At 46.1% G+C, this 18,430-nt stretch overlaps 2 protein-coding genes and 1 non-coding gene across 10 annotated transcripts in view, besides 4 other annotated features; 1 reads left to right on the forward strand and 2 right to left on the reverse strand.

Annotated features, from left to right (window-relative positions):
• The window catches only part of SLC36A1 (solute carrier family 36 member 1), a 211,490-nt gene that overhangs the window by 164,763 nt on the left and 28,297 nt on the right, over positions 1-18,430 (forward strand). The gene's annotated exons all lie outside the window — the stretch shown is intronic.
• FAT2 (FAT atypical cadherin 2) overlaps positions 1-18,430 on the reverse strand; it is a 90,728-nt gene that overhangs the window by 5,267 nt on the left and 67,031 nt on the right. For 5 of the 6 annotated variants that reach the window (XM_017009225.2, XM_011537600.3, XM_017009224.2 and 2 more), the window contains 6 exons: positions 17,876-18,019; positions 16,410-16,607; positions 11,918-12,728; positions 8,262-8,407; positions 2,807-3,248; positions 663-816 (listed from right to left, as the gene is read on the reverse strand). In XM_017009225.2, the coding sequence (XP_016864714.1) occupies positions 663-816; positions 2,807-3,248; positions 8,262-8,407; positions 11,918-12,728; positions 16,410-16,607; positions 17,876-18,019 (1,895 nt within the window). The remainder of the gene's footprint in view (positions 1-662; positions 817-2,806; positions 3,249-8,261; positions 8,408-11,917; positions 12,729-16,409; positions 16,608-17,875; positions 18,020-18,430) is intronic. The other variant, XM_047416934.1, reaches the window with a different exon arrangement.
• Positions 7,813-7,982: an enhancer, noted in NCBI's record as "experimental_82540 CRE fragment used in MPRA reporter constructs". NCBI's record gives its function as "activates a minimal promoter by MPRAs in K562 erythroleukemia cells, with activity observed for both the introgressed and non-introgressed 5:150896817 or rs6870052 variant alleles {active_cell/tissue: K562}" and the evidence as "EXISTENCE:reporter gene assay evidence [ECO:0000049][PMID:34662402]".
• Position 7,898: a transcriptional cis regulatory region, noted in NCBI's record as "Neanderthal adaptively introgressed variant 5:150896817 (GRCh37/hg19 assembly coordinates) or rs6870052 in the experimental_82540 CRE". NCBI's record gives its function as "modulates activity of the experimental_82540 enhancer by MPRAs in K562 erythroleukemia cells {active_cell/tissue: K562}" and the evidence as "EXISTENCE:reporter gene assay evidence [ECO:0000049][PMID:34662402]".
• Positions 10,771-10,940: an enhancer, noted in NCBI's record as "experimental_82543 CRE fragment used in MPRA reporter constructs". NCBI's record gives its function as "activates a minimal promoter by MPRAs in K562 erythroleukemia cells, with activity observed for both the introgressed and non-introgressed 5:150899775 variant alleles {active_cell/tissue: K562}" and the evidence as "EXISTENCE:reporter gene assay evidence [ECO:0000049][PMID:34662402]".
• Positions 12,626-12,795: an enhancer, noted in NCBI's record as "experimental_82555 CRE fragment used in MPRA reporter constructs". NCBI's record gives its function as "activates a minimal promoter by MPRAs in K562 erythroleukemia cells, with activity observed for the non-introgressed 5:150901630 variant allele {active_cell/tissue: K562}" and the evidence as "EXISTENCE:reporter gene assay evidence [ECO:0000049][PMID:34662402]".
• On the reverse strand, positions 12,729-12,790 carry MIR6499 (microRNA 6499). Its single transcript, NR_106752.1, has one exon. It is a non-coding gene; the product is annotated as a microRNA 6499 (primary transcript).

Consider the following 18,430-nt stretch of genomic DNA (forward strand, 5'->3'; position numbering starts at 1 on the left):
TGGTTAGAGAGAGACACCCTAACACAATGGTCCACAACCCCTGGGTCACGGACCCATACTGGTCGGTGGCCTGTTAGGAGCCGAGCTGCACAGCAGGAAATGAGCCATGGGTGAGCAAGCATTACCACCTGAGCTCCGCCTTCTGTCAGATCACTGGGGGCATTAGATTCTCACTGGAGCACAAACCCTGTTGTGAACTGTGCATGTAAGGGATCTAGTTTGCATGCTCCTTATAAGGAGCATATATCTAATGCCCGATCTGTCACTGTCTCCCATCACCTCCAGATGGGACTGTCTAGTTGCAGGAAAACAAGCTCAGGGCTCCCAACTGATTCTACGTTATGGTGAGTTGTATAATTACTTCATTATATATTACAATGTAATAATAATAGAAATAAAGTGTGCAATAAATGTCATGTGCTTGAATCATCCTGAAACCATCTCCCGTTTCTCCTGCCTGGTCCGTGGAAAAAGTGTCTTCCATGAAACCGGTCCCTGGTGCCAAAAAGGTTGGGGACCACTGCCCTAACAGATGGAAAAGGCCTAGAAGCCAGGTCCCTGCAGCACTCTCCCCTGGCCTCCCATTGGACTTTCTAGAGGTCAGAGTACAGAGCGCATTCCCTAACAAGGAGCCCATGGCAGGTGGCCTCTCCTGGGATTACCTGTCTCCTGTGTAAGGATGAGGGCAGTTACAGGAAGCTCCTTTGGGGGAGAGGATGCAAGTTCCACCTTCCAGGCAGGGTGCAAAAGTACAGTTCTCCCTTCCTTGTTCACAGTGCTTCCCAGAGAACTGTGGGGGACATTTGCAGACATAGCCTAGGAGAAAAAGAAGGGAGGTGAGAGACCGCACTGGCCTAGCAGTTAAAGGAGACCTGGCATTGGCAGACTGGTGTGTTTGTGCAGCCGTTCAGTTACCATTTATTTATTTGGTTGCTCCCCTCTGTGCCCAATACCGTGCTGGGCATTGGTGCCCTGCTGAACCAAGAGCACTTTGGTCCCTGCCCTCAAACAGCTTACAGCCCACCAGAGACAACAGTCACCTAAAGAACAGTAATAAACAGGATAACAACCATAGACACTAACTTAGTGCTAGTCACTGTTCCAAGGATCTTCCTGTGTTGGCTCATTTGATCCTCACGATGACCCTGAGGTTGGTGACTGTCATCATCCTCATCAGGGGACAGGTACAAAGGGATGGCAGATGAGGAAAGGAGGCACAGAGAATGGACAGAATTTGCTCAAGCCAGTAAATGGCAAAGCTGGGGTTCAAACCTAGACAGCTAGCTATAATATCAGTATCTCAGTAATTATAATAAAATTAATTTTATTGAAGGGAAATGCTGGGAGGGGTGGGGGATGAGGCTAGCTTACTCTAGGGATCTGGGAGCTATTTCATTTGAGATCTGAAGGATGAGTAGAAATTAGCTAGGCAAGAAGCTAGAGGGCAAAGAGAAAGGTGTTTCAGGCGGAAGAGAAGAGTGCGTGCAAAGGCTAGGGAAGGGTGTGGCATGGTCAAGGAACTCAAACCACACCAGGGTGGGCCAGCCTGGTGAGGGACAGGGAGAGTTTGAACTATGGCCTGGGAGGTGCAGGAGCCACATGCAGGGATTGGGACTCTATCCTAGCAGCATGGCGGCCACTGAGCAGTTCTCAGCAGAAGAGTGCCATGCACAGGTCTGTGCTGGATAAAGATCACCCCGGCTCCTGCTGGAAGGTGGAAGGCCGGGATAGAAGCTGGAGAACAGGGAGGAGGCTGGTGCCAGGGTGAGAGGTGATGGGGGCTTGGGACAGAGGGACAGCAATGGGGAAAGAGAGAAGTGATGGATTCCTTGGATATTTTGCAGGTAGAAATGACATGATTAGCCAGACAAAAATCAGAAAAAGGGGTAATGCGAAGTGTTGACAGGCATGTCACATGTTGACAGGCATGTGGGTACATAGGAACCTCTCATGTTGTGTGTGATGTATAGAATAGATGGCTGAGAGGCATGTGGGTACACAGGAACCGCTCATGTTGCATGTGATGTATAGAATAGCCATGCTGAGAGCAATGTATCCCTATTTAGTCAAAATAATTATTTGCATACTGTGAGCCTGTGACTTCCACCCCTGGGTGTCGGGTGTGTGTGTGTGAAGGAAACTCTCACACAGCTTCACAAGGAGACATATAGGAGAATGCTCCCTGCAGCATTGATGATGGAGATGGGTGTTTGGAGTGCGAGGGTGGAGAGGGAAAATGTGAGTGCGTGTACATCATGGAGTACTGAGCCACAGTTAGAAGCAATTAATGAGAATTGCTCATGGCAGCATTGACAGATCTTAAAAATATGGTGCTGAGCGAAAGCGTAAACAACATATACCACTTATATAAATTGGAAATTCAAGCATATGAAAAACAACATGTATTTTGCAAGAACTCATTCAAAAACTGTAAATGTTTGCCTCTAGTGTTAGGGAAGGGGAAGGGAGTGGAATATAAGTTAAAGGGGAATGAGAAGGAGACTGTGCATAGACCAGTGATGACACTAAGGTATGTGATTAATTCAACCCTCTGCCCCTGAGGTCCCCATTCATATCCTCCCTCATCCCCCCAGAAGTAGAAAGATAGTTTTTGTTGAGAGGGAAGGAAGACTCCTGGCTTCCCCTAGTCTAGATATTGCAGATTCCAACCTGTTACTCACAAGTTAGGGGAAGAGAGAGAAATTTGGAACCAGGAGGCTCTGAGATCTCCACCCTGACATGCTTTTCCCACCTGAAGAGCCTTCTGGGATAAACCCTGGGTTCAGCCTGGCACCCCAGCCCTCACCTGCCCCATGGGTCCATGAGCACTTCCCACCATTGAGGCATGTGTTCTGGCTGCAGTAGTCACTGTGGAGGCAGCACTGGGTGAGGGCTTGTGTCTCCAGCAAGCCTGCCACCGTCTTGCCAGGGGCCAGCAGATCTAGAGCCTCTTCGTTGACCACGACAGCATCCAGGCAGCCTTCAAAGCCCTGGGAGACATTCGAGGAAGAATGCAACAGAATGAGGCCGCCCAGCAAGAGGTGCCTTTCGGGCCTCAGACCACGGCAGTTCTCTGGGACCACAAGGGAGGTGTTGCCCATGCTGTCAACCATCAGGCGAATGGAAGCGTCCATCTCCTCCACCAGGATGGAGTGCCACTCGTGGTCATTCACATGGCGCTGGGAGGAAAGGTTTCCATAGAAACCACCCAGACAGTGGTATTCCAGCTGGGGCACTCCACTGGCCAGCTGCAAAGGAAATCCAAACAGCCATCAGCAAAGCCAAGGAGTCCTTGTAAACCTGCTAAGAGGCTGCCAGTTCAAAGAATGTTGTTTGTATTTTTATGGGTAGGAGGGGGGTGTTTGGCTGTTTTAGACATGGCATTTGCAGAGCATAAAAACCCTCAAAGTGCTTTTGTGTTGATGGTCTCCTTTGTTCTCACCACACCCCATGGGATGGTCTGGGTAGGGGGTGACATCTCCATTCACAGATGAGGAAACTGAGGCCGAGAGATGCTTTGCTGATCAAGACCCTGTATTTTGGATGCTTCTTCACAGGCCTGTCCAGAGTTCCACACTTGTGAATATTGGCCTTCAGCGATTTGAAAAACCTGTCTCCCACTCCCACTTCCTTATTCAACAGCTTAGCAGTTCTCAAAGTAGGTCCCCAAGACCTTTTCAGGGAAGCCACAAGGGCAAAGTATTTTTATAGTAATCCTAAGAGTTGATTTGCCTTTGTTTTCTCACAAGTATACAACAGAGTTTTGGAGACACATGTTGTCACAACTGATGAATGCAGAAGTAAATATGAGAAGCCAGCTATCTTCTATTAAGCCAGGCAAAAGAGAGGCTTGCAAAAATGTAAAACAATGCCACTCTTCCTTTTTCTTTCGGAAAGTAATTATTTTTCATAAAAATATATAAAGACATACACTCATATGTTGATTGCAGCACTTTTCACAATAGCAAAGACATGGAATCAACCTAGATGCTCAACAACAGTGGGCTGGATAAAGAAAATATGGTACAGATACACCATGGACAACCATTCAGCCATAAAAAAGAATGAGATTATGTCCTTTGCAGCAACATGGATGGAGTTGGCGGCCATTATCCTAAGCAAACTAACACAGGAACAGGAAATCAAATACCACATGTTCTCACTTACAAGTGGGAACTAAATGCTGAGTACACAGGGACGCAAAGAAGGGAACAATAGACATCAGGGCCTACTTGAGGGCAGAGGGTGGGAGAAGGTTAAGGACAAAAAACTACCTATCAGGAACTATGCTTATTCCTTGGGTGATGAAGTAATATGTACACCAATCCCCTATGATACATCGGTTACCCGTATAACAAACCTGCATATGTACCCCCGAAACTAAACTAAAAATTGGAAGAAAAAAATTATTTAATTAATTAAGGTATTTATGTTGACATGTGAGTTTATTATTTCTAAATAAATTAATACATTTTTAAATATCTCAGTTTTAATGTCTAATACTGAATATGTTGATAGTTATAACCCACATAACCAAAACTTCCCTGGAATCCTCAATAATTTTCAAGAGTGTAAAAAGTCCTGAAGTCAAAAAGTCTGAGAACCACTGGGTTAAAACATTTTAATTCACTTCATTCCCAAGAGGTAGGACTGCCTGTGACCAAATACTTTTCTGGTCACTTTGGGCTAGGTAGAGTTTTCTCTGTTGAAATTTGAAGATCTAACCCAGTGTTTCTTATACATTGGCTATCTGTAGACCACCTCTCAGATTTTTGCCCCAGTTGAATACTACCTATACCTTTATTTACTTAAAAAGGAGACACTATTATTAGGGTAAATAGAAAACCAACACACTTGCCTTTAAGAAAGGGGGATAACAAAAATGAATGCAACTCAAGTAAAACATTGCAATGAAATCATTTCTTTTTATCTGTCTGGGACCACAAATCTGTTGATCCCACCGTCTTTTCATTGTCTCCCACCTCTGTAATGTCCTCGTTCCTCTCCTTATCCAGTTTAAGTTCCATAGTCAATCATCCTAACTACTCCCTTCACATACTCTTGACCTATCTCTTTCTTACTTCGTAGAACTCTCTTGGTAAACCCACAACTATGGAAAAAGCTAACTCTCCACCTGCTCTATACAGACATGGAGCAGAACATGGCTGGAGAAAAACGTGCAGCTTTGCTCACGAGCCTCTCTTTAATTTCATGACCATGGCTCTCAAATGAGCCTTTAATGCTGCCCAGCAATCACACTCCCTTCCTGAGTCCATCCGTTCTTCCAGATGACTGTTTTCACTACGTCTCTCTCCTGAGATCCCTAATGCCTCCCTCCTCATTCCCACTCTCAGCTGATCATCTCACATCCTACTGAAATCATCAGATGGGGGAACCTGCAGGCACTTTCACCATCACATCTATCCACCTTAGCTAAAGCCAATCTCTCCATTTATGCACTAGATTCTACCTCCTCACCTCCTCAAGGGTCTACTGATTCTCCTTCCTCTTTCTTACATCTTTGTTCGTTCACCACTATATCATTCCACAGCATACACACATGGTGTTATTGCTCTAATCTTTATTTTCAAAAATATACCTTCTTTACAGATGATAATCTTTATTTTTTTAAAAAAGGTTGTCTTCACCTCAGTTTTCCAGCCAGATATTTTCCTTCTTTCCTGTCCCTTTTCCGCAAAATTTCACCCCAACCCACCATACACGGAAACCATTGGTGTCAGGGGATTCAATGATCTCTGTGTTGCCAAATCACTTCCCATCTTACTGGCCTCTCAGCAGCAGATCACCCAACAGATCACTCCTTCCTTCTTGATACGTGTTCTTCACTTGGCTTCCTGCATACAATACTCCCTGGGTTTTCCTCCAGCATCACCGGTTACTCATGTTCAGTCTCCTTTGTTGAATCCCCTCTTCCCCCAGACCTGCTAATGTTGGAGGGTCTCAAGGAGTAATCCTTGGCCTACTCTCTCTTCAATCTACATTGCTTGGTGATCTCCCATCTCATGGCTTTCAGTACCACGTATGCGCTGAAGACTCCCAGATCTCCATCTCCAGCATAGACCCCTCACAACATTAGGCTTGTCTTACCAGATCCACTTGGAGGTCTAATGGGCATCTGAAACTTACACATCCGAAACTGCACTCTGATCTCCCCTCCCCAAACCTTGTATCCACCCATACCCTTCCCCAGGCCTGCTGGCACAAACTCCATTCTTCCAGTTGCCCAGGCCAAAATCTCACTACTTGCCTTCTCTCCCACCCTTCATTCAATTCACTGGGAAATCCTGTTGGCTTTGCCTTCAAAATCTTTGTAGAATCTATCTTCTTTCCAATTCCTCTGTCATCACCCTGGTCTAAACCACCATCCTCTCTTATCCAAATTATTGCAGTGGCCTCCTGACTGGGTCTCTCTGCTCCTATCTTTGTTTCTCTAAAGTCGATTCTCAACAAAGAAGCCATGATGACCCTTTTAAAATAGATCATTGCAATTATCTGCTCAAAACCTTCTAATGCCTCCATTTTGCTCAGAATAAAAGCCAAAGTCCTTACAATGTCCTACAAGACCTTCATAGATATGCCCCATCCCATTACGTCTCTGACCAACTCCTCCTCCTACTGTTCCCTTTACCCACTTCACTGGAGCCAGGTAGAACTCCAACCCATTGCTTAAACATGCTAAGCATTCTCCTGCCAAAAGGCTTTCACATTGCTATTCCCTCTATCTAGAATGTTGTTCCTTCCAGATGTCCATAGAGCTAACTTTCTCACCCTCTCCAAATTATTGCTCAATTATTATCTCAATGAAAGCTTCCCTGGCCACCTTATTTAAAATTGTAAAATTGTAACTCCGGCTGGGCATGTGTTTCATGCCTATAATCCCAGCACTTTGGGAGGCCAAGGTGGGTGGATCGCTTGAGGCCAGGAGTTCAAGACCAGCCTGGCCAACATGGTGAAACCTCGTCTCTGCTAAAGACGCAAAAGAAAAAAATTAGTGAGCGTGGTTGCACACACCTGTAATTCCAGCTACTCCAGAGACTGAGACACAAGAATCACCTGAACCCAGGAGGCAGAGGTTGCAGTGAGCTGAGATCATGCCACTGCCCTCCAGCCTGGGCGACAGAGTGAGACTCTGTCTCAATAAATAAATAAATAAAAATTGCAACTCTCCTCACCCCTGATGCCCCTCCATTTTTTCCTTTTTGCTCATAATACTTATCACATTTGAACAAATTCTATAATTTTCTGAGCTATTATGTTTATGTTTATTGTCAGTCTCTCCCCCATAGAACAAAAGCTTTAAAAGGGATTTCTGTCTTTTTCACTGATGAGACCCAAGCACCTAGGACAGTGCCTGTCACATAGTAGATGCTCAATAAATCTGTTTTGAATGAATTAAAATCTAGTGGCCAAAGTTGGCTTTCTCTTTGTTGAAATGGTAGGTTGGGGCTGAGGGCAGTGGTTCATGCCTGTAATCCTAGCACTTTGGGATGCCGAGGCAGGCGGATCACCTGAGGTCAGGAGTTCGAGACCAGCCTGGCCAACATGGCAAAACCCCATCTCTACTTAAAAAATACAAAAAATAGCCAGGCATGGTGGTGTGTGCCTGTAATCCCAACTACTCGGGAAGCTGAGGCAGGAGAATCGCTTGAACCTGGGAGACAGAGGTTGCAGTGATCTGAAATCACACCACTGCACTCCAGCCTCGGTGACAGAGAGAGACTCCATCTCAAAAAAAAAAAAAAGAAAAAAGAAATGGTAGATTGGCATATGTGATAGAGGTGTTAAAATCACAGGCAGACTGTGACCTTCCACATGACATAATCCAAATAACTGAATGATTATTACAAAGGAAATTTATTTTTCTTCCATGTGATTCCATGGGGTTTGAGCACCCCCAGTGGTAAGCAATCCCCCCATCCCTGGGAAACACTGGCCTATTACTCAGCAAAAATGATAACGGCACCAGGGCTAGTTGACCTCATCCATCTCCATTTCTATCTTACCCCACAGAGTAAGCAGCCCCACTTGTGACCGTCCTTGGACGTATATCTCCAGGTTGGGTGGCTGTGGCCATCCAGGACAGGATAATCATGTGGCCCAACAGTCACACCCAGAATCCCTGAAAACTGTGCAGGGATTTCTTTGGCAGAAATGGGCTTCCTGACATTCCTCATGCCTCACCCCCTACCTCCCCAGCCTGGGACACCCACATGAAATCTCTCAGGCTGGCAGTGCCTTACCTTCAGGGAGACGGACGCTGTTTCATTGGTGAATAGAAGAATGGCCTGTGGCTGGAGTGTTTTCAGATAGAAATGGATGTGCCAGTTCCGAGCCGCTGGGGCCCTGTACCGCACATAGCTCTGACCACTGAACCTTGTAGCAGTACCTGAGAAAGCAACCAAAGCTGTCACCTCTACTTGAAGTGGTCCCCATTGAGCCCTTGGACTGACTTTGTCTTATTTAATCCTTGGGTGGCAGACAGAATCATTGCTCATATTTTATACATGAAGAAACTAGGCTGGGTGTGGGGTGTGCCATACCTTTCTAGCCTCACACGTAGAGCCAGACAGGAGCCTTCACCCTACCTTTTGTTGACTGCAGGGACCCCTGCCTTAGGTCCCAGGCTGGGTCAAGAAATATGAATTTAAACCATTAAGAAAGCAAAAGTCATCCAGGTGAGGTGGCTCATGCCTATAATCCCAGCACTTTGGGAGGCTGTGGCGGGAGGATCACCTGAACCCAGAAGTTCGAGACCAGCCTGGGCAACAGAGCAAGACCTCATCTCTAAAACATAAAATAAAAATAAAAATAGCCAGGCATGGTGCCTCATGCCTGTAACTCCAGTTACTTGGAATTACATCCTCTCAGCTGAGGCAGGAGTATCACTTGAGCCCAGGAAGTCAAGGCTGCAGTGAACCATGATCTTGCCACTCTATTCCAGCCTGGGTGACAGAGAGAGACCATGTCTCTAATAATAATAATAATAATAATAATAATTTTTAAAAGAAAGTAAAAATCAGGCCAGAAATGTAATGAATCAAGTGTGTGAAAATCAAAATTTTTATTCTACATAGTTTCCATGTTATTTCTGGTGTTGGGAATCTACACTGGGAATGTAGATACTGCATGTGTGTGTGATTTTAGACCCACAAGGGTTTTTGCCTCAGGATAGTTCCTTGTATGAGCAGGAGTTAATCATTTAGGTAAACAATAAAATGCGGCTGAGAGGTCAAGAGCCACTCTATGATAAAGAGAGAGGGGCAGTGATAGACTGTATGGCCAAAACTTTTGTAAAGTCTGGCATCCTCCATCCCGCCTTAGCAATGGCTAATGCACAGTTGCATAGTATGGAGTAAACTTGAGTTTCTTAAGCATCTTTGACTGTGGGACACTCTTATGTGGACCACTCTTGGGAATAGCATTCTGTTGAACCCCCTTTGGGAAGCACTGCCCTCCCCAGATTTTAAAAAATATCCACCCTCCCCAGAAGTGAGTCCAGCTATGAAATCCCCAAAACCCCAGTGTAAATAAGCTTGTCAGTTGTCAGGGGAGAGGATGAGCGGTCCAGCCTCTAGATACCTAGCAAAGAGGAATTGTTGAAGAGAGAGAACAAAAGCCAAAAGGAGGAGAAGAAAGAACCAGAAAAGATGAGGCACAAGGGATTATAACATCCACACATTCCAGCTGGACGCAGTGGCTCACACCTGTAATCCCAGAACTTTGGAAGGCCAAGACAGGCAGATCACCTGAGGTCAGGAGTTCGAGACCAGCCTGGTCAACGTGGTGAAACCCCGTCTCTACTAAAAATACAAAAATTACCTGGGCATGGTGGCACTCGCCTGTAATTCCAGCTACTCACGAGGCTGAGGCAGCAGACTTGCTTGAACCTGGGAGGTGGAAGTTGCAGTGAGCCAAGATCGTGCCACTGCACTCCAGCCTGAGTGACAGAGCGAGACTTCATCTCAAAAACAAAAACAAAAATCCAAACAAGTCCAAAATTCCCTGACACTGGCAATTCCATTGTAGTAGGTACTTATTGGATGGGATATTGAAGATGATCTAGATCAGAAATTCCCACCCCGGCTGGATATCAGGATCAGCTGGAGAATCTTTATGACACAGAATCCTAAGTTCTCTCGGAGAATCTGATTCAGTAGTTCTGGGTGGCACGTGGAAATATGTATTTTAAAAATCTTACCATCATGGGTGTAACAACTGGAAGGGGGGCCCAAGGGAGGCTTCTGAGATGGTGGTCATATTCTTTCCTTGATCTGGGCGTTGGCTACACAGATATATTTGCTTTATAAAAATTATTTGAGGTGTGTACTTATGATACATGAATTGGTTTCCTGTATGTTTTATATTTCACTAAAATGTTAAAAAATAAAAAACCTCTTTTCAACTGATTCTGGTGATCCATGAGTTTATCTAGTATTTCTTCAATGCAAGCCCTTGCACCTGCTGCTTCAGAATTAAATGCCAATTCTAGGACTCACTCAGAACCTTCTAAATTAAAACCTCTGGAGGTGACACCCAGGAGCATGTCTCTTTAAAATCACGCTCTCCAGTAGACTTTGCAAAATCTTGAATTTTAGAACCCCTGCTGTCTGATGCCAGGTGGCTGAGAGAGACCCTTCAGCCTTCTTGGCTTTCCCTGAAGCAGGCCCTGGGGCAAGAAACACAGAGAAGGAAATCCTCTCCCCAACAGAGAGAAGCCCACCCAGCCTAAATCGAGTGGTCCCTGGACAAAGTCCACAAATCTTCTGAGAAATGATATCCCGAATGCCAGGCAGCTGGACCCATAAAGGGCAGGTCAGGCCAGGCCAGGCAGGAGCGCTGGTGAGCTGAAGGTCATGTCACTTTCCTTTAGCCAAGGCTCCTGAGCTGCTCCCTTGGCCTTAATGCCAGGGATGCTGGGTGAGTCTTGGAGTGCCTGAGGAGCTTAGTGAAGAGTTCAGGCTTTAGAGTGGGACACACAGATATTTGAATAACGAGGCCTTCATTGGAAGCTGTACAATTTCAGGCAAACTAAATCTCATATCTCAGTTCCAACTGCAGATGGGGCTAATGACCCTGCTTGGTAGGGCTGTGGTGCCGATTAGTTTAGGTGACATCTACACAGAGTGTGGCGTACAGCAGGCTCCCTATAGCAACTGCTACCACGGGAATGACAGTCACCGTTGATCTGGGGCTTATTGTGGGCCAGCCATGGGTTAAGTGCTTTTATAACTCTTACGTAATTTCCCCCCCGAACCCAACTCCAGGAGGCAGATGTATTTATTTTGACTATTTTATAGATGGGAAACTAAAAAGCTCAGAGGGTTTTAACAATACACCCAAAGTTACACAGCTAGTGACTGATGGAGCTAGGGTTTGAACCTGAGCTGTCTGAGTCTAAGCCTTGAGCTTATAACCACCAGACTATGGTAATAATAGTAGCAGTATTAGTAACTCACATGTATTGACCACTTTCTATATGTCAGGCACTGTTCTAAGCAAGCACTTGATACATAGTACTGATGTAATTCCTACAGCAGCCCAGCTCAAAGGCACAGAGAGGTTAATTTTCCTAAAGTCGCCTGGTTAGTAAGGGGTAGAGCTGGGATTTTAACCCATGAAGACTGAAGCCACAGCCTATGCTCTTAGCCATGATGTTAAACCACATATTGTAGTCTTACTGTTATTTTCTAAATCTCGAAAGGGAGCTGAGAATTGGGTATTATTCCATAACTAGATTTTGTGAGGCCACTAGCCGTCTTATGGTGATTGGTGGCCTTTGGGCTTATTAAAACTTCCCTGAACTCTCCCACAGAGCCTCAGTGGAATCTCCATGCTTAGAGTCAGGCGGGCTGAGCCCAGCAGTGCTGCTCGTCCCTAGGGAAGATGTAGTACTTACCATTGCAGGAGCAGCTCCTCTGCAGGTGGTGCCGCGGGGTTAGGATGCTGAGCCTGGCGGTGCTGTACGTGGGCCCAACCTTGGGGTCCAGATGCACTGTGTTATGGCAGATTTGACCCTGGCAGGTTGGCCCCTGGCAGGGCACCATGGGCATAGCTGACCGCATCTGAACCCCCACTGAATGCTCCATCTCCTTGGCTGAGTGAGTGATGATGGATGCTAGCTCCTGAAACTCGTAGAAGGTTCCAGAATGCCCCTCAAAGACCAGGAGCACATCCACACCAGCCACGGCCTCTGCAGGCTGGAGGCTGGCCAAGTGAATGTTAGCCCGTTTGATGTCCAGCTTATGGCTGAGGAACCTCTGCAGGTTCCGCCAGTGGTCACTCACCAGCTCCTCGGGGGTGAGCTGGTAGAAGCCCATCCACATGGCCTGCTGCAGAGCCTCCTGCCCCACATGCCACACGTACACATGGACCCCAGCAGTCGTGGTGAAGGTCCCATCGCTGACCGTGACGTTGAACGAGTAGTGGCCACGAGGCAGGCCCTGGGCGGCGATAATCTTGCCATCAGGCGCACCCACTGAGAAGTGCCTGCCCAGGGTCTCCTCTTCTGCCAGGCTATAGGTCAGCGTGTCCTGGGGGTCTCGGTCTGTGGCATGGATCTTACCCACCATGCCACCCTGGAACTCATCCTCTCCAACAGTGATGAAGATCTCCAGTGGGAGAGCAGAAGGTGCATAGTGGCTCTGCTCTGTGACATGGACACGGACAGACGTCAAAGACGAGAGGGGAGGGATGCCACTGTCTGACGCCTGTGGGCAAAACAAACACTGCTGTCACCCAACAGAACTGCAGTGCTCTTGCGCCCGACTGAGGCTGGGCCTCCTTGTGGAGCTACGTTTCTCTGCCCCACGCCCAACTTGAGGGCTGGCTCAGCGCATTGTTGCATTTAGAAAAAAAAAACCTAACTCCAAAAGCACTGACAGAAAAGAAAGATTTTCTGAAGGTTTTGTAGAGATTGAAGGAGGGAGTTACATCCTATACCATGCAGTAAAACAATGCAGTTTCCTCATGTGACATCTCTCTGAGCCTCTTCCTAAATCTCTCCAGCCATAGACTTGGGCTAACTTCCTCATGAAGTTTCTCATTCTGTCCCTGTCCTCAAGGGCGCCCTCAGATGTCTCAGCAATTCTGATGCACCATGCACCCTGCTCAGCCTACGAAAATTCCCCTTGGGATTCCCTTTTGCTATGCGATTGGAGTGGGAGTCGGGATTTGTCCTTCTAGTCAGTCAACGAAGTCTTCTGCTGTGGCCAGGAGAAAAGAGACAATAAATAAGTTACCAAATAACTTGGATAAAATGCTGGGAAGGAAATAAACAGAGACCTAACTTTGATCAGGTAGAAGAGAAGGAGTCTCTGTGGAGTGACATTTGAGTCCTGAGGGATGAGAAGAAGAGGCGACAGACAGAGGGAGCAGCAAGTGTAAGGTCCTGGGGTAGGAATGAAGGCGGTGTGTTCAACAGCACAGACGGGGTCACTGGTGCTGGAGCAAGTGGGCAGGGAAGCAGGCCTGACCTCACTGATGGGCTGGCACGCGCAGGGTTGCAGTTAATGTCAGAACTGTGAAAAGCCGTGAGGGTGACAGGACCTCACTTAAGTAGGGAAAAGAATGTAAATCATAAACGCATTTTCCTTTCATGTTTCACCACACATCCCTGCAACTTCCTGCCTGACTTAGAAAGGACAGGCTTGCCTTCTTCTCCTCAGTGATGTTATCACTTCCTCAGCTGTCAACGAGGGTCTCCACAATTTTCCCTGTAGTAATATCTTGTTCACCTGCACTCCAACACTTTTAATGTACAAGAAAGTTGATAAGATTACACCTACTGCTGGAAGTCATGCATAACACCGAAGAGATATTAATAGCAACAATAATAATTAACACTACTGTTAATTATAATGTATAGCTAACATTAGTTACAACAATACTACTACTACCGATTATATATAATACATAGCTAACATTAACTGAGTACAATGCTAGTCATTATCATAGATAAACTATGATAATGCTGTAAATACATTATCCTAGTTTATCCTTCTTATGAGATAGGTACTATCAAGTCACCCATCCTACAAAAAATATAACTGAGGCTCAAAGAGGTGAAGTAACTTGCCCAAGGTCATACAGCAGCAGATAAGGCCTGAGCAGAATCTGAATACCTATCTGTGTCTATAGCCTGTGTTTTTCTTTGCTGGCCTATGGTGCCTCCCAGTGCATGGAAGTGGAAGTACGGGACCAATGCAATTGATGGTGATGATGCCAGTCATTACTAAGCTCCTGTCTAGGCAGGACGTGTGCCTGGGTCTGAGAATACAGAGGTCAGGAAGCCATTCTCTCTCATCTCTCCCTAGGCAATCACATCCATGCTCTTGGCTTTGAGGGCCATCTACCAATCCTCTGAGCTGCCAACTCCAATTCCCAGCTACCCACTGGACACCTCTGCTTGGATGTCTCACAAACAACTGGGAAATAATGTGCAAAACAGAGCTTCGGTTTAGCCCATAAACCTGTCCTGCCTTCCCGTCTGGGCCTTTCCAGTCTCATAAATGCACTACCACCGAAGTCTTCATGGGAGCCAACAATTTAGAAATCACCCCTGAATCGTCTCTGTTCTTTCTAACTGCACATCCACTCCACCAACTCCTATCAATTTACATACAAAATATGTCCGAAATCTCTCCGCTTCCTGCATCTTCTCCATCACTCCGTGGTCTCAGCCCCACTATCTCCAGCTTGGATGACTTCTCACTGGTCTCCCTCACCCACTCTATAGAGCTTGAAAAATGAGCTTCCTGAGACACAAAGAGGATCCCTTTTCCGTCTGAAACCCTCCAACCACCTCTCATTGTACTTAGATTAGAATCTAAAAGTGTTACCAAGGCTTATACTTAGAAGATTGGATGCCCTGGTTTGTCAAGGACAGTCTTGATTTTTACCTGTTGTAAATCAGCTACTACCAAGTATTATTTTTAGTGCCTGTTTTGGACTCTATGTTTGTGTCCCCTCAAAATTCATATGTTAAAATCTAATCCCCAGTGTAACAGTATTTGGAGGTGGAGCCCTTGTGAATGGGATTAGGGCCCTTATGAGAAGGGCCATGTGATACAATGAGAAGCCGACAGTCTGCCATTCAGAAGAGGGCACTCACCAGAACCTGGCCATGCTGGCACCCCGATCTGGGACTTCCAGCCTCCAGAACTGTGGGAAATACATTTCTGTCCTTTAAGCCACCCAGCCTATGGTGTTCTGTTGTAGCAGCCCAAATGGACTAAGTCAGTGCTTCTCTCACTCTCAAAGATCACAGTTTGGACCTCAGATAATACAGTCATCCAAGCCACAAGGCCCACATGATCTACCCAGCCTATCTCCTCAGCCTCATTCCCACCCCTGCTCATGATGTTCTCAGTACCTCAGCCATACCTCAAGCCACTTCAGGCTCTTTCCCAACTCATGTTGCTCTTCCTGCCTGGAAGACTCTCCTGCCCACTTTTCACATGGTTGGCAGCTTGGCTCTCTGCTCAGATGTCACCTCCTGGGGGCAGCCTCCCTCTGAATGTGTGTCCCCCTGTCTTATGAGTCTCTCATCACTTTACTTCCTTATCATCATTTGTAAAGATGTTATTTCTTTCTTTATCTGTTTATTGTTTATCTCCATGATTACAATGGAAAGCCCCTGGAGACAGGAATCATTCCCTCCTTACCCTCTGCTATGTTCCTAGCAGCTTGCAAATGGCCTCGCATGTAGTAGATGCTCAATAAATACTTGTCGAGAGATGGACTGACTGACTGAAAGAATGAATACATCATTCCCAGCCCATAAGTTTACAGAATAGTAGGGTCCACTGGACTTGAGATTTAGGAAAGAGATTTGGAGAAATAAAGTGAGGGAGAGATATCAGACCACCATCTTGGCCACTGTTCTTTAGCAATTCCTATGAAACCCATAACACCACCACCAGAATCCCCTACACACATGTGCATACAATATCTCACTTGAGCCCCAAGCCAGTTCTCTGAGGTAGGTTGTTTTAGCTCCTGAGGTTCAGAGAGCTGTTCTGGCTAAGCTCTAGGAGCTACAGCCAGAGGGTGTTTTGCCCAGGCACAGAGCAGGGATTAAGAATTTGGAGTCTGGGGTCAGAGTGCTTGGGTTTGAAGCAACCCACCTTTGCCACTTATTACCAGTATTACTTTAAGCCAGTCACTTAAATCCCCTGTGTTCCTCAGTTTCCTCATCTGTAAAGCGGGGTGGTAACTATACCTGCCCTGAGTGTTATGAGGCTTTAGTCCTGAGAAGGACCTAGCCCAGTGCCTGATGCATCCTAAGTGCTTTGTACATTTTTTCCCTAATGACAGAAGCACTGGTGGGGCTTTTGCCAGCATCTTTACTGTCCCCATGGTCACCACCAGAAGCCTAGCACAGCTCTCACCTGGATCTGAAGCTGATACCATTCCTGAGCCCTCCTGCTTAGGCCCTCAGCAGTCACCAGCCATCCATCCGGGGTCACTCGGAAGGCAGAGCCGTTGTTCCCCTTGGTGATTCGAAACGAGTAGGGGGGGCCATTCTCTGGAGAATCTGGGTCACTCAGGATCAGCTGCAGGACTTTGCTGCCAATGGGGGAGTTCTCCTGAGACCGAGAGTGACAAAGAAGGCAAAGAGCAGAATGAGTCCCGGTCCTTCCTTTCGCACGTGTCTGGGTATGTCATCTGGAATGAGTCCTCAGCACTCTGACTGCTTGTAGATGGTGCCTGGACATCAAGCTGCTGCTCATTCATTCTGCCTGCCTTTGAGGTAGTTGTTGACTTTGCTGTCTAGACCAGGAGCTCCCCAAGGGCAATGTTGGGTCTTAGAAACACAGCCCATTGGGGCAGGAAGGATCCTTAGAGAACAAAGGTTAAACCCTTTATTCTGTAGAGAGATGACTTGCTCAAGATCACACACTGCTGAATCATGTATTTAAATTAGTTATTACCTGGATTACATAAGGGAATGTTGCGATTTGCAAAGCCAATTGAACACTTATAAATGATTTCTTCCTTAGAGGACCTGCATGCAATATGTATCTGATAAGCACACTTAAAGATGACTAGGAATTTAATAAGAAAAACCAGATTCCCTGAGTATCATTTTAGCCTTTGTTGTATAACATGGGCATTTAGTATACTATAACACAATGGTTGCTAACTATTTAGCATCACAAACAGAATCTAATGGGCAGAAACTGATCGTTGCCTATCCAACAGACATTCTCTGTTCCTTTCTTATAAAATCCTGCTTTGGTTCAGATGTGGACTGGCGATATTCTCAGAAAAGATATTTTTAGTCAGGTAACTTATTATTTGCAGCCAAAGCATCCTAACCCATACCCATAATATATAAAACAGGTAAAAGTGGAACAGCCCTAGGTAATGCATAGTAGGACCCAGAACTCTGCCTTTTTATTCACTCCCTCACCTCCCTTCACCACTTACAGCCCTGAAAATTACTCATAGAATCCCAAGGCCCTCTCCAAATCCTATTTGCAAACCATTAGTAGGGAATAGCTTGGGTTCTGGAAACAAACAAAAAAATCCCTGGGGTTCAATCCCAAGTTTGCCACATTCCAGGTATGGCATGTTTTCATACCTCAATCTTCTAAATCTGTAAAATGGGTACTACCTACTTCATATGGCTGTTATGAGTCTCAAATGAGGTAATGGATATGAAAGTGCCTAACACAGTGCCTGATTCCCTTCAATTCTATAATGCCCTCCAGCAGTCTGTGTTGCCTTTGGGGACATCAGTGGCAAAGTCACAGTCATTGTTCATGTGGACTAATGCCACTGAGGGGCATCTTCTGCTAGAAGGGAAATGAAGGGAGGAAGGGCTCAGGGTGCCTTGGAGGCTCAAGCTTACCTGGACAGTGGTGCTGTAGTTGAGCTGGAAGAATCTCGGTGGGTTATCATTGACATCAGCCACTTGGATAGCGATGTCTGTGTCCTCATGCAGTGGAGGCTGCCCACTGTCTGTGGCTCGGAGCTTCAGGGAATAACTAGAGGCCTATTGCAAAATGTCCAGTGGAGGTTAGCAATGAGGTAGCTGTCCCTCACTTCTGCCCCCTGAGTCATCACTAATATTTTCAAAAAAAATAAGAAGGAGACACTTTCCTATGCCCACCCCCACTGCCCACCCGTAGCATTTTAGGGCTTAGGTTCTGGAGTCAGACAGAAATAGGTGTGATTCCCTACTCAATCATTTGCTGGCAATGAGACCTTGGGAAAGTGAATGAATTTATGTGAGGATAATGTCAGGATGCACTTCCTTAAATTATTTTGAGGATCAAATGGCATAAATCCTTATAAAACATTTAGGAAAGTGTCTGGCACACAGTGGGTGCTCAAAAAATGTGGCTATTTTATAATGATCTAATGATCCCTACTCAATTGTGAGAAGCCACCTGAGGTCCTCTAG

This window comes from Homo sapiens, chromosome 5 (assembly GCF_000001405.40).
Source record: "Homo sapiens chromosome 5, GRCh38.p14 Primary Assembly".
NCBI classification, from domain to species: domain Eukaryota; kingdom Metazoa; phylum Chordata; class Mammalia; order Primates; family Hominidae; genus Homo; species Homo sapiens.